The following is a 14,524-nucleotide window of genomic DNA, read 5'->3' on the forward strand; positions in this document are numbered from 1 at the left end:
ACCCTTAAGAAAAGGGTGACTTTTCTCCTTTCCCAGCATCACTTCTTAATAGTATGGATGAATTACTTTTGCAGGTTAAAATCATCCCAAGTTTTAGCTTTGAGCATTTTCAAGTCAAAATTTTTTATCTATTAAAATATTTTCTTTTCTGAGAAGGAAAAAATCCTGCCAGTAACGCATTAAAAAGTATTTTATAGGTTCAGTGTGAAGCTTATTTAACTTATGTGAGCCAAGTTGGCATTTTAGATTGTAAAACTGAACTGAAATATGAATTATGGAAAATTAATTTGTAAAGTTGAAATTTTATGAAATACTTTCTGCATTTTGTTTAGACCAGCATGTTTTGGAAATTTGATCTTCACTCATCATCCCACATAGACACACTTCTAGAAAGAGAAGATGTAACACTGAAGGAGTTAATGGATGAGGAAGATGTTTTACAGGAATGTAAAGCTCAGAACCGCAAACTTATAGAGTTTCTGTTAAAAGCAGAATGTCTCGAAGATTTAGTCTCATTCATTATAGAAGAACCACCTCAAGACATGGATGAAAAGATCAGATACAAGTAAGACAATTCAATCTTCTCTGTAGAGTGGGACTAAAGTGAAGTGGGGGTAGAATATACAGCTCTTGTTCAAGGATTCTCCAGTGTGACTGTTGCCATTTACAGAAGGGTAAGATAGTCAAGAATGACAGGCTCGGTGGAGCGCAAAATCCATTCTAGCAGTAAGTCCAGGGAATCACAAGAGTTTAAAAATGAGCGTTCTGAATTTCATTCAAAGGTTTTCTGGAAAGGCAGCGTGCTTTGTAAACAATGATGATAAATATCTCAAAATAGTAAGATGATTAAAATATTTACTTTGCAAATAGGAAGATGGACATGATGTGACTATGCAGAATCGCACAGCAGATCTAAGTCAGAGCTTGGGGTTGTGAAGAGCATTGCTTATACAATACATTCTGACCTTTCATTCACTGAAAGTAAAGGAATGGGTACCATGGGTAACTACAGTGGATTTTGTCTGCTAGTTTAATCTGCTTACAAAGAGAACGACAGTACAGTAAGAATCCTTTATTACCATCACTGTAACACTTTTTCTACAAACCCCTGGAAACTCTCCATAGGTATGTAAAGTATTGGGGTTTCAGTTAATTATTTCTCCATATCCAACTCTATTGAAATATTTGGCTCTTTTCCCCCCAGAAAATAGAGCAACTTCAGAAACAAAAATTGATGCATTACATAAACTTAATGGAACAGGAAGAATTAGGCTTTTAGTAGTGTCTCTCTTGCCATTTGTCCCTCAGTTTACCTTTCTTTTCAGACATCTTTTCCTTTCGTCTTGGGGAGAAATGTGCTGTTAGGGAAATAATACTTGTTAATGCTTTCAAGTTGCTAGTGGCTTAGGTCTTCAGAGATGTCATGTTCTCTGCCAACCATTAACATTGACACTTTGCATTTAGTGAAAGCCTTCACTCAGAGATTAGTGTCTTAATAAAAGAGGAGGAAAGGCTGGGCGCGGTGGCTCATGCCTGTAATCCCAGCACTGTGGGAAGCTGAGGCAGGTGGATCACCTGAGGTCAGTAGTTCGAGACCAACCTGGCCAACATGGTGAAACCCCGAGTCTACTAAAAATACAAAAATTAGCTGTGCCTGGTGGCAGGCACCTGTAATCCCAGCTACTCGGGAGGCTGAGGCAGGAGAATCACTTGAGCCCGGGAGGCCGTGACAGACCTACTAGTGTGCTGTCATCCCCCAAATGATAGACACTTTGCTACTTGGAATTCCCTTCACAGTGAACTAGCATGTGGGTGGTGCTACTTGAATTGGGGCTTATCCCTGATGGAGGAGTGTGGTATGCATCAGAGAGCACAGATTTTGGATCAGCCTCCTCAGAAGAGTATGACCCTCTTCTCTTCCAATCTCTGAGAGCTTGGGCAGGGAGCTTACCCTTCTTGGGTCTGTTTCCTCATATGCTGAATGAGGCTAGTAATGTTTTAATCATTGAAGAGTAGGCATGCCTTCTATGAAGGGCTTACTTTCCACAAAAGTACTGCGCACCCCCCGCCGTTATAACAGTGTGGCACTTGTATTATATTGCTTCGTCAGTGTTTTTGCCTTTGAGGTTGCAAGAGCAAATGCACCTCCTCTGGACACAGCCTTCTGCATGGTACCATTTTGAAGGAGCACCACTTGAGTTGGATAGGGCAGTACTCTGCCATGCTTCTGCCCTGAGCAGAGTCACCACCTGTGTGTAACATATCTTGGATGATGCCACAGCTAGATTAGCATAGAGGGGTTTTTCAGCTGGGATCTGAAAGTGCTTTAGGGTTATGGTTGACTACAGTCATTTAAGGAAGTTTAGACTGGGATTGTGTAGTTTTGGGATGATGGAGTAATTGCTGTATTGGGGTAAACCAGACTAAAAAGTCCCCCAATAATTTTTCAGATAAGACCTCTGGAGAAAAATGAAGCATGACGAGACAGGGACTGCTGAAGGTGGTGGGGTGGGCAGAGGAGCTCAGGAAAGGCCTAATTAAGATGGTGCCATCTGGTCAGAGCCATGCAGGAATTAAGGGGGTTGCCAGGTGGGCACTTACAACCAGGAACATCCAGGCAGGGGGAACAGCAAGTGTGGAAGCACTAATGTGCTCATGTGCTTGGTGTGCCCCAAGAACATCTGGGCAGCCAGAGAAGGGGCAGCATTGTGAATGAGGGAAAATGGAAGGAGGGAGGGTTGGAGTGAAGGTGGAGCACCTCTGGAGACAGGCCATGCAAGGCCTGGTAGGCTCAGCCAGGATGCTTGCTATACTTGGGATGAGATGGGAAGCCACCAGAGGGTTTTGAGCAAATGTGTGCATGTTGGGGAATCTGCCCCGATATTCACATAGGTTCTTTTCTGTTTTCCCTAAGCGTCAGTCGGCTTGAGAAATAAAGGGACAGAGTTCAGAAGAGAGATTTTAAAAGCTGGGCGTCCGGGGGAGACATCACATGTCAGTAGGTTCCGTGATGCCCCACAAGCCACAAAAACCAGCAAGTTTTTATTAGAAGTTTTCAAAAGGGGAGGGAGTGTGCAAATAGGTGTGGGTGACAGACATCAAGTACTTAACAGGGTAATAGAATATCACAAGGCAAGTGGAGGCAGGGCGAGATCACAGGACCGGGGCAAAATTAAAATTGCTAATGAAGTTTTGGGCACCATTGTCATTGATAACATCTTATCAGGAGACAGGGTTTTGAGATCAACCCGTCTGACCAAAATTTGTTAGGCGGGAAGTTCCTCTTCCTAATAAGCCTGGGAGCATTATGGGAGACTGGAGTCTGTCTCACCTCTGCACTGACCATAAGAGATGACCACACCCAGGGGGGCCAGTTTAGAGACCTACCCCCAGGTGCGCATTCTCTTTCTCAGGGATGTTCCATGCTGAGAAAAAGAATTGAGCGATATTTCTCCCATTTGCTTTTGAAAGAAGAGAAATATGGCTCTGTTCCGCCTGGCTCACCTGCGGTCAGAGTTTAAGGTTATCTGTCTTGTTCCCTGAACATCGCTGCTATCCTGTTCTTTTTTTAAGATGCTCAGATTTCATATTGCTCAAACACACATGCTGTACAATTTGTGCAGTTAAGGCAATTATCACATGGTCCTGAAGTGACATACATCCTCCTCAACTGACAGGATTAAGAGATTAAAGTAAAGACAGGCATAGGAAAGCACAAGGGTATTGATTTGGGGAGGTGATAAGTGTCCATGAAATCTTTACAATTTATATTTAGAGATTGCAGTAAAGACAGACATAAGAAATCACAAAAGTATTAATTTGGGGAACTAATAAATGTCTATGAAATCTTCACAATCTACGTTCTTCTGCCATGGCTTCAGCTGGTCCCTCTGTTTGGGGTCCCTGACTTCCTGCAACCTGTGCCATAGTCTGACTTTGTTCCTTAGGAGTGCTCTGCCTGCTCTGTGGTTAGGGACTGTAGGAGGACAGAAGTGGAAGTACAGTTGGCTGCAGTGATCAGCAGAGAAAAACAAGATCTTAGTGGACCTGATTGTTGAGAAGCGGTCAGATTTCCAGAGGCACTAGATGAAGTTAGAACTGAAGGGGTTTCCTCTAGGTATGGAATGGGAGATAAAGTGTCAAGAGTGACTATGAGGATTTTGGCCTGGGCAGTTAAGAGGATGGAGTGGCTTTATGGCAGTGAAATAAGATTGCAGAGGGAAAGGGCAGGAGTTTGGGTCTGGCCCTGTCACATTTGAAATGCCTGTTAGACATGAGGTGGAGATGAGGCCTAGTGGTAGGTGGACAGAGGACATGTAAAGCCACAAGGCTGAATGAGATCGCCTGCAGAGCTGATGGAGCTAGAAGAAAGCTTCTGAAACTGGAGATGGGTAGTGTGGGCTGGCCTGGGTTCCACTGAGGGATGGAGGAGTGATTGGATGCAAGAGGAGAACCTGGGGGCTGCTACCCTGGAAACCAAGGGAAGTCTGGCTTCAGGAAGGAGGGGGGACAGTGGGTTAGCGGTACTGCTCATAAGAAACCACTCAGTTTGTAACATGGAGATCATGGGCCCCATCAGTACAGGTTCTTTGGAGGGGCCCAGGTGAAAGCCTGGAGGCAAGCAGAGACAACTCTTTGAAGTGATTTCTTGTAACAGGAGCAGAGAGGAAGTGGTAGGTCGAGGCAGATTTGGAGTCAGGGGTGGTGTGGGGTTTTGTTTTTTCCTAAATGGAAGTGATGACCTGTGAGAACGTTGCAGCACAGAGGAAACACAGCCAGTGTGAGGGAGCAGGCCGCCGAGTGATGCATTGTGCTGGAGTGGGCGGGGGTGGGGGCATGTGGTCCAGAGCATACATGCAGGAGATGACCTCAGGAGCAAGGGCCACTCCCCTGGAGCGAGGAGGAAGTGCCCAGCTGTAGGTGGGGATGTGATAGGGCTGGGTTCCCTTCTGATTGCCTTCTCTGTGTTCTCAGGCAAAGGAAGCGAGGTCAGAGCCTATGGAGGAGGAGGGGTCTTGCCGAGGGTGGAGTGGAGGCATCTTTGGGTGCTTGAGAAGCTGCTGTTTTTTTTTTTTTTTTTTTTTTAAGACAGAGTCTTGCTCTGTCATCCAGGCTGGAGTGCAGTGGCGCAGTCACAGCTGGCTGCAACCTCTGCCTCCCAGGTTCAAGTGATTCCTGTGCCTCAGCCTCCTGAATAGCTGAGACTACAGGTGTGTGCCACCACACCTGGCTAATTTTTGTGTTTTTAGTAGAGATGGGGTTTTGCCACATTGGCCAGGCTGGTCATGAACTCCTGACCTCTGGTGATCCATCCATCTTGGCCTCCCAAAGTGCTGGGACTATTGGTGTGCGCCACCGCGCTCGGCCTTGAGAAGCTTCTTGAATGTTAAGGAGGGAGGGAAGGAGAGTAGCCCCAGCCTGTCTGGAACCAGAACTCTGAGCTTTTTGTGTAATGGCTAACATTATGCATGCTTCTTGAGTTAGGTCATACCACCCAGTCACCTAGAAAAAGTGAACAAATTTTAAAGTTGCTCATCTGGACTTTCTCTGTCAGAGTTTGGAGAAAACACTCATGCATTTGATTCACAGCCAGGAGTCCGCTTGCCTTTTACTGATCTTCTGTTTGTCAGCAGTTTCCACATTAAGACAGTTGAGTGAGTGCATCTCCCCAACCCACTCTAGCAGCATTCTGCCATTTTATAGTGAAAATAAAGAGGAATGAAAACAGCTGTCATTTATTAAACACTTATTTACTTTATGCCAGGCCCTCTTCCCAGCCTTTTTTACTCCCCTCCTCCATAAGATAAGGACTATTGTCTTAATCTTACTAACTTGGAAACTGAGGCCCAGAGAGGTTAAGTAACTTGTCCAAGGTTATACAGCATGTAAGTGGTAGAGGCCGGTTTTGAACTTAGCTAGTGTGACTCTAGTAGCTGCACCTGTAACCGCTGCATCAGCCCACTCCTGGGATAATGGGTACTTTACAGGGGTTTATATTCTGGCATCTTGAAGCCCATGCTACGTAAATTGAGGGAGGAGACTTTACTTCCCAAAGACCCATACATCTGCCAGGTCTGTTTTTTTTTTTTTCCTTTTCTGTTTTCTTTATACAAAGACTCATTTTGGGACCTTCTCATACTCTTCTGTCTTTAGGCCTCACACCAGAGCCTGTCAAGTGCCGTGGCTTTCTGGTTCGTCACCAGTGGTCTTTTTGTGCCAGGGTCTTGCTGCAGGCAGCACTTGCTTGCCTTGGATGCCCCAGGTGTGTCGTATACGTGTCCCTCCTGCCCCAGTCTTCCCTGGTTTCTTTTGTCATGCAGCCACGTTTGGCTATTTTGCCATCTCTCTGTCTTGCTCAGCTTTTGAGCTTGCCACTCCTGATGACTTGTTGGGGCGCTGGGTCCTGGCTGTCCAGCAGGGAGGAGTGTAAGAGCAGAGTAATTCTGGGTCAGCTAGAGTATCGTCTGGATAGGCTCAACGTCTCTGTTGTTGCTAGTGAAAACAGACACGAGATTGTCATAGTAGGAGTAAGTGGAGGAAATGGACCTGCTGCCTGTTTGCAGAGGGTCAGTGGTCTGGTTGTCAGAGGCAAGCATTTCTAAAGCCATGGGGTCTGTAGAAGAGCCTGTGTGGGTCCATATAGAGCAGGTGTCATGTTCTTAGCCGTGGGCCTTCTACAGGAGAGACAGCATGGTGAAGACTCATGGTGGGCTGACTTTGTGTCTGTGCTGATATCCAGATACTGGAAGGCTGATGTGGAGAGCACTAGTTTTGTTTTGTTTTGGTTTTGACACAAGGTCTCACTCTTGCCCAGGCTGGAGTGCAACAGTCATAGCTCTTTGTAGCCTCAAACTTGTGGGCTCAAGTGATCCTCTAATCTCAGCCTCCTAAATAGCTAGGACAACATTTTTTTTGTATACTGCTTCCTGCCTTGGTAGCCCAGGCTGATGTCCTGTTCCCCCCTTCATTATAGTAGGATGCTTACTCTCTTAAGATGTAATATAGACTTAGTACCATTTACAACCCATCTAAAGATAAAGGCTGGTCCAGGTCCCTACAGAGTGCCTTAAGTCATTACAAGGTGCTGCATGCAGTGCAGTTTCCTGGAAACCAGTGTCCTCCACAGTTGTCCGCAAGCTTTGCTGCTTCCCATGCCAGAGGAGGCTGTAGCCTGATGGCTCGTACGTCCAGCCGCTTTCCTCGCTGATCGTGGAGAAGGCCCGGGCCCTGCAGCATGACCTCTCTGGGCTTCTGAGTACTAGGTGCGCTCTAGTTTCTTCAGGGAAAATGTATTCTTGTTAAAGCTTGGTTTAAAAACAATTTTTTAGATAGTAGAAAATTTATTTTAGTCTGGAGGTAGGTTGAACAGAATGGATTGAAATGATTTCCTGATTTCCAGTAAACGATTTTATTTTTTTCACAAAATCTTGGGAAGCCTTTCTGATTTGTGTTTATCTTTATGTAATTAAACTGTTAATAAAGATGATGATGTAAATATCCTGTTCTTCTAGGTATCCAAATATATCTTGTGAGTTGCTCACTTCTGATGTCTCCCAGATGAATGATAGACTGGGAGAAGATGAATCCTTGCTAATGAAATTATATAGCTTCCTCCTAAACGATTCCCCTTTGAATCCACTACTTGCCAGTTTCTTCAGCAAGGTGCTAAGTATTCTTATCAGCAGAAAACCAGAACAGGTAAATATGATTTTCCAAAAGGTAAGTATTAGGGCTGATCATCCCCTTGAGGTGATCCCCCAGTACTTGTTGCTTTAAGAGTTCTAACTTTGCCTTAAGTTCAGGTTGTATAAGAGAATGTATTTTAAACCTTAAACATTCTAAGCACTCACATACTATTTGTATGTTAATGAATATTTCTAATATGGCATAATCTCAAATTTCACTTAATTTGTTAGCATACTTTAGTTTCCTCTTTTGAGAAGTGGGTAGAAGATGAGAATATTGGGTACCCATTTGTGAAGACAGGGCTTAACTAAGATGGCAAGTATAATAACTAAGCAGTTGAATATGTCACCAAACAATTGCTTTGTTTTGTTTTTCCCCCATTGATGATCAGAGATGAAGCTTAAACCAAAAACCTTTCCCACAAATGTAATTGGTGATTGGTTTGTACTAATGGTGATTCTGTTTTGATTCTACTCAAAACTTCTCCAGTGTCAGGCTTGAGACATCTGAGTGTATAGACTGCTGTGTACATTTGCAGCTGTGCTGTTCCTATCCAGTGTGGTTTGACAGAAACTTCACTTGGTTCTCTAAGTGTGGTCCCTGAACCAGCAGCCCCTCAGTATTACCTGAGAATTTGTTAGAAATGTAAGTTCTTGAGTCCTATTCCAGACCTGCTGAATCAGAAACTCTGAGAGATGGGCCCAGCAGTCTGGGTTTTAGCAAGCCTTCCAGCTAACTCTGATGCATGCTAACATTTGAGAACCACCGCTTTAGTGGATATTGTTGTGAAAAAGGATCTGCTTATCTGGAGATTTTAGTCATTTTATGGAAATAGGCACTCAGGGAACAACTAGAGCCTCAGATATTCAAGTATAAACTATAGCAGATTTGCCAGAATTGCAAGTATAGGTGTGATGATACGGGGCAAAAGTGGTCAAACCAGTTGGTCCTGCCATCCTTCATGATAGAAAATGGCTCTGGGTGACCCATTGTTGCTATCAGCACTTGTGGAAGGACTGGAGCTATTTTGGGCCCAGTGTGTCCTGTCCTATGCCAAGGCAAAGTGGATACATGCTTTATTTTAGAAAGAGATATTTCTTTCTTTCACTTAATGGAGTAGGATAAGCTTTCTAAGTTGATTGGAAATGAGATTCTTTTCACTTTGGTAATAATCCCCAAATCATGATTAATGTAGATTGTCTCTTTTTTTCTGCCTTCTAGTTAGAAATACAAGAACTGCTGGCTGTTTTAGGAGAGTGGAAGCCATCCTATCACCCTGATATTACCAGGCAGTTCTCAGGGATGGTTGTTGTAGCCATTATCCAGACATTATGCTTCATTGTGCTTTTTCTCCTCACTTCTGTGCTGTTGGAATCCAAGTTGGCGAGCCCCGATTTTCAGTGTACACATAAAGAGAGAGAATACACTTAAAACCTTGCCAGTTATGTTCTGAGACAAGAGCCCTTCGGCCTTTTGCTTGTTACACTTCCCTGTCAGGACTGTATGAATGATAGCAAGAGGATTCAGTGGCTGTGAGTTAAGATCAAACTTGGCATTTCTTTATCCTTTGCCAATTAGGAGTGTAAATAAAGGTTTTCTGTTATGTGATAGTATTAGTAGGGGTGTATGCAACTGTAAGGACAAAAATTGAGACTCAACTGGCTTAACCAATAAAGGCATTTGTTAGCTCATGGAACAGGAAGTCGGATGGTGGGGCATCTTCAGTGCTGCATGAGTCAGCACCCCAGCGGGGTCATCTGTGCCACAGGTCCCTGTTGACAGTGCTGTACTGTCCACCACACTAGCTGGGATTTATTCCTTTGGGCTCCAGGTTTGGTGTTTCTGGCACTGAATTACGGAATACTTGGGACACATGTGACTTTTTTCGTCCTTTCTCCTCTACTGTCCTTTTAAAAACTTGTGGGATCCAATTGTGAGTGAATTATTTATGTGTCATATCATTTCTTGAAGTTTTATATCATAATGCTTGACCTCATTGTCTAGAGAAGCAATGTGTGTTGGTTAATCCTGTATTTATACCTAATTGTATGAAGCAGTTTTAGTTGTCATTTCTGGCTATTAGACTTCATGTGGCATAATGGAAAGATTGTGGCTTTTGTGGCATACATATCCAATTTTAAATCCCAGGCAGCCACCTTTTAGCTCTGGAAGATAGTTTCTGAGCCTTGGTTTCCTCATCTCTAATGGGGTGTGGCGGTGGGGGTGAGTTATCCAACCCCCCACGCCCCAGAGCTTTTGAGAAATTTCAGTGAGATCCTGTTATATAGCAGCTGCGACACTCCCCCTGGGACTCGCAGAGGGTTTGGGAATAGATGACACGTGCGCATGGACAGAGGCAGAGGCAACAAGGCTGTATGGGACACAGGGATGCATGGGACAGAGTCATCTCCCTGGTCTCCCAGAGCAGAAGAGACCAGCAGCAGGGGCCTGATTTCCGTGGCCATTCTCACGTTCCTTCAGGGTAGCTCTCTGCCTCTCCACCAGCTGCCCTTCTTGTGCTAAGCTATTGGAGTAAATTGGTGAAGTCAAAATCAAAGGCGATGTTTGTGTAGCCAGGTGAGTTAGTTATTTTGACTAGAGTAGAAATCTTTGTTTTGAAATTTTTTTCTCATGCTTGTTAGAGTCCAGTTAGGATTTTGAATATTACTTATTTTAGTGCAAAATCTAACAGACATGCTTTATGTTCATAAACTGTAAAATGGTATATTCTCTTGCTCTTTATAGGCATATTAAATTTTTGATCACCATTCTTTGAGAATGAATAATGAAAGTGAATAGAAATAAAAGATTCTGTTAAGTTGTATTTGTATTAATGGACGTGCTAATTTAGGGGATTTTTTTCCAAGGGGTATTTTGAGTATTGTAACTATTAGCCAGGCTTTCCAATTTGATACCTTGTTGCTAATTCAGCATTTGCCATTTCTCAACCTAAAGTAGTGGTAGAATTTGGAGGAGTCGGGGTTGGGACTTAAAAGGTAAAGTTTATAGTTTCCAAGTTACATGTCTTTCAGTTTCTGATCTGTTCTTCTCTAGATTGTGGATTTCTTAAAGAAGAAGCATGATTTTGTAGACCTTATTATAAAGCACATAGGAACTTCTGCTATCATGGATTTGTTGCTCAGGCTCCTGACGTGTATCGAACCTCCACAGCCCAGGCAAGATGTGCTGAATGTGAGTAGAATTCTGACCTGCTGTTGACTGGGGTTAGGGTGCTGGCATGTGAGCCCACCAGGCTGCTGTGTGCTGGGAAGGAATGCATGGGATTAGGGTTGGTAGCAGAGGGTTGTCTGGGGAGCCGGTAACAGGGTGGGGAAGAAAGGTTGTTCCAAGATAGGAAGAGATCCAGATTTTGCAGAACTAGAATTTCAGATGGGCACATCCCTAGGTATGTAGGATGTTTTGTTGTGAGTATTTTTTCCTTTTGCTGGTTTGCTTTTTATGGGGGTGGTGAGACTTTATGGGTTGAGCATTTGTCTTGAAGCTGGTTCTGATGGTAAAAGCAGAAATGAGAGGGTTGGGAGCTCTAAGTCCCATTTGAGTATGTTATGAGGCCACGCTCTTCAGGGCCACCTCTGAAGGTCAAAACGGAGAGGTGTTGATGTATCCAGGGATTCAGGCTTCAGAAGTAATTCTCTTCTCATGGGTACAGAGGAGCAAAGGATAAGGAGAACAGAGTTTACTTTGAGAAGGACATATTTTAAAATGTAGACAGATGGTGATTTTTAGGATGTGTGCCTCTTGAATAGATGTCTCAGGTAGAATTTGGGTGGGAAGAGGGGAGGGTGTGAGTAACTTGAAAATAAGGTTTCTCCCAGGCTCCCATCTCTGCCTTCTCTTCTTGTCTTTTGTGTCTTTCCCTCTTCCTTTCTTTTTTGAGTTGGGAGTCTCACTCTGTCGCCCAGGCTGGAGTGCAGTGGCGTGATCTCGGCTCACTGCAACCTCTGCCTCCCAGGTTCAAGCAACTCTCTTGTCTCAGTCTCCTGAGTAGCTGGGATTATAGGTGTCCGCCACCACACCTGGCTAATTTTTGTGTTTTTAGTAGAGACAGGGTTTCACCATGTTGGCCAGGCTGGTCTCGAACTCCTGACCTCAGGTGATCCGCCCGCCTGGGCCTCCCAAAGTGCTGGGATTACAGGCGTGAGCCACTGCTCCCGGTCCCCCTCCCTTTCTTCCCTTTCTCAGAAGCTTTGCAGAACCATGCTTCAGTCTATCCGTCTTTAATACTAACCTGCAACCTTAGAACTTACTCATTTCTTTGGAAATGAGTTTTGTTGAGAATGCTAATTGTTATTTAAGACCTCAAGGACTAGGAGGGCCTATGAGGAGGAAGGTCTTTCAGGTGGTGCCCAGGGCAGGGCATGTTCCAGTGAGGTAGGGAGGTGTGCCAGGTGTGCATTTATGTGATGGTGTCAGGGCTGGATTTGTTGGTGACCCAGGCACTGTGATCACTGTGAGTAAACAGCTGGGTGTATCTAGTGGGTGTCCTGGGACTTGTCTGTTGGCAGGGACCTTAAATTGGGACACCTGTTTCCTTTTGGGTGTGTCTTTGTAGATGTATCTTTTCCCAAAAGAGGTTGAGGATTCTGGGGAAGACTGAGGACAGGGAGGGGGTTATCACCTTTATATTGGAATTATCATAGGGAGAGATTTATTCAGGATGGTTTACTGGAACCAGTTTATTCCTTTGGTTGCTTCTGGGTTCAAGTTTAGGACCTGTCTGGTTTCCAAAGGAATCAGTGTGTTTCTGGAGAGAGAGAGCGATAGGAGGTTGATAAAGGTGTAGGTTGGGGAAAGGTTAGTTAGAAACCCCTAAATGTCTTTTGATTTTGTGGATCCACAGTCGGAGATGACTACAGAAGTGGGCTTGGAATGTAGGTGCCTGTGAATAGCTGTGGAGACAGCAGGAGTCTGGGATTGATTAGTTCGCCGCCTGGAAAGTTTCCTGGTTTCTCCTGTAGTGGTCAGGAATGCCCCGCCCCTCACATAGATGTTTACTCTCCTCTGTTTCGGGACATTATTACTCAAAGAATGGTCCTAGACATCACTTGTGAGCTTGTTAGAGATCTGTAATCTCAGGTCTCTTCCTTGGCCTACTGAATCAGAATATACATTTGAACAAGATTCTCGGAGAATTTGTGTGCACATTTTAAAACAGATATTAAAATATGAAGTTGGGCCTCTACCTCTGTGGTGCCTACCTAATAGCTTCACATTTTCCTTTGTTTGGTGTTTTCGTTGAGCAGCCAGAGAGTGTCAGGGTTTCTTCTCTGTTCCTTAAGCAAATTGTGTTTGATTTCTGCCCCCGCTGCCCGCCCTAGTCTCCTTTAGCTTTCCGGGCTTTTTATGAGCAGAGGAGGGGTGGTGTCCTTTCTAGGTAGTGAGCTGCCTTGTTGATGATGGTGTTTTGGGCTTCTTATGGCATTAATGTTAAGCCAGATGATTTTTCCTTTATTTTTTCTGAATTCGGATTCCTTTTATGTTTTCATTCACTGTAGCATTTCATACATGGATTAAAAGGAGATGGCCATAGCTCTTTGCCAGCACATGACAGGGCGGAAAAACTCTGCCTCTGTGCTTCCTCCAGCCCCCACGTTTCCTGCAGTGGGTTTGGTTTTGTAATCTAAAAGTCCCATTTGTTCATCCTGTGTTTTTCTTAACCCAGAGACTTGGTGCTAAATATTGCTCTTCTCAATCTTTCTGAAGCTTGGAATGAACGTGCTCTTACAGAAAATGTATAAATTCCATCCTTCTTAATCTCCCAGCCCTCTCTTCTTAAGAACTAACCTACAAACCCTTTTAGTCCTAAATGTCTGGAGGTGACCTCATGGCTAAGAAGCTGATATATAGAATTTTAGTGTGTGGGTATTGTAATTTGGGGAGTTGTTGGTACTGTTGGCCATTGTTAAAACAATATATTCACTGGCATTTTCCTTGGGGGACTTTTAATTTTCTGTAGTGTTCAAAGTCCAGAGAAACCTGTAACATTCTACTTAAAATGTGATGGATATTTCCAAGTATGTTAATCTACATTGGGGCTTGAACAAGAGCCACTCATTGCTATGATTACTTCTACAATGTGTTTTACAGTGGTTAAATGAGGAGAAAATTATCCAGAGGCTTGTGGAAATAGTTCATCCATCGCAAGAAGAAGATGTAAGTTCACTTGTGTGACTGTAAACTTGATTAGAAAAAAAAAACAAAAAACTGTTTATTGGGCACAGAGCATACTTATATTAAATGTGAACATGATCAGAGCATACAGGGAGAATAGCAGCGATCTAGTGTTCTTAAAGTTGATACTTTTCTAAACAATATTACATTTTGCCAATACTCAGAAAATTTCCAGAAGTGTACAACAGCAGGCCCTTGTTATAGCACCATCTCCTTTCTAGAGCCGGTATTTCATGCTGAACCAGCTGGTTTTTGTACAAACCTCCTTTGTTTATGCTCCTTTTTACTTTTTTTTTCCCCTTTGAGACGGAGTCTCCCTCTGTCGCCTAGGCTGGAATGCAGTGGCGCGATCTTAGCTCACTGCAACCTCCACCTCCCAGGTTCAAGCAGTTCTCTGCCTCAGCTTCCCGAGTAGCTGGGATTACAGGTGCCCGCCACCACCCTGGCTAATTTTTGTATTGTTAGTAGAGACCGGGGTTTCACCATCTTGGACAGGCTGGTCTTGAACTCCTGACCTTGTGATCCACCAGCCTCGGCCTCCCAAAGTGCTGGGATTACAGCCGTGAGCCACTGTGCCCGGCCTCCTTTTTATTTTTATACCCATCTGTAGCAGTTGATGTGGCCACATTTGCATTTGTTTTATCCA

At 44.1% G+C, this 14,524-nt stretch overlaps 1 protein-coding gene across 84 annotated transcripts in view, besides 3 other annotated features; it reads left to right on the top strand.

Moving 5' to 3' along the window:
* The window catches only part of PPP6R3 (protein phosphatase 6 regulatory subunit 3), a 154,583-nt gene that overhangs the window by 76,575 nt on the left and 63,484 nt on the right, over window positions 1-14,524 (top strand). For 71 of the 84 annotated variants that reach the window (NR_147971.2, NR_147966.2, NR_147967.2 and 68 more), the window contains 4 exons: window positions 333-565; window positions 7,512-7,698; window positions 10,741-10,878; window positions 13,795-13,860. Coding sequence is in view for 74 of the 84 variants with exons in the window: in NM_001352362.2 (NP_001339291.1) it covers window positions 339-565; window positions 7,512-7,698; window positions 10,741-10,878; window positions 13,795-13,860 (618 nt within the window). In the remaining 10 variants the exon portion in view is untranslated. Of the gene's footprint in view, window positions 1-332; window positions 566-7,511; window positions 7,699-10,740; window positions 10,879-13,663; window positions 13,861-14,524 lie in introns of all 84 variants that reach the window. The other 13 variants (NR_147970.2, NR_147965.2, NM_001352378.2 and 10 more) reach the window with 4 other exon arrangements.
* Window positions 2,958-3,663: an enhancer, noted in NCBI's record as "OCT4-NANOG-H3K4me1 hESC enhancer chr11:68307752-68308457 (GRCh37/hg19 assembly coordinates)". NCBI's record gives its function as "activates a minimal SCP1, AML or CMV promoter by ChIP-STARR-seq in naive and primed H9 embryonic stem cells {active_cell/tissue: H9 hESC(naive and primed)}" and the evidence as "EXISTENCE:reporter gene assay evidence [ECO:0000049][PMID:30033119]".
* Window positions 5,924-6,424: an enhancer, noted in NCBI's record as "H3K27ac hESC enhancer chr11:68310718-68311218 (GRCh37/hg19 assembly coordinates)". NCBI's record gives its function as "activates a minimal SCP1, AML or CMV promoter by ChIP-STARR-seq in naive H9 embryonic stem cells {active_cell/tissue: H9 hESC(naive)}" and the evidence as "EXISTENCE:reporter gene assay evidence [ECO:0000049][PMID:30033119]".
* Window positions 6,425-6,925: an enhancer, noted in NCBI's record as "H3K27ac hESC enhancer chr11:68311219-68311719 (GRCh37/hg19 assembly coordinates)". NCBI's record gives its function as "activates a minimal SCP1, AML or CMV promoter by ChIP-STARR-seq in naive H9 embryonic stem cells {active_cell/tissue: H9 hESC(naive)}" and the evidence as "EXISTENCE:reporter gene assay evidence [ECO:0000049][PMID:30033119]".

Source organism: Homo sapiens, chromosome 11 (assembly GCF_000001405.40).
Source record: "Homo sapiens chromosome 11, GRCh38.p14 Primary Assembly".
NCBI lineage: Eukaryota > Metazoa > Chordata > Mammalia > Primates > Hominidae > Homo > Homo sapiens.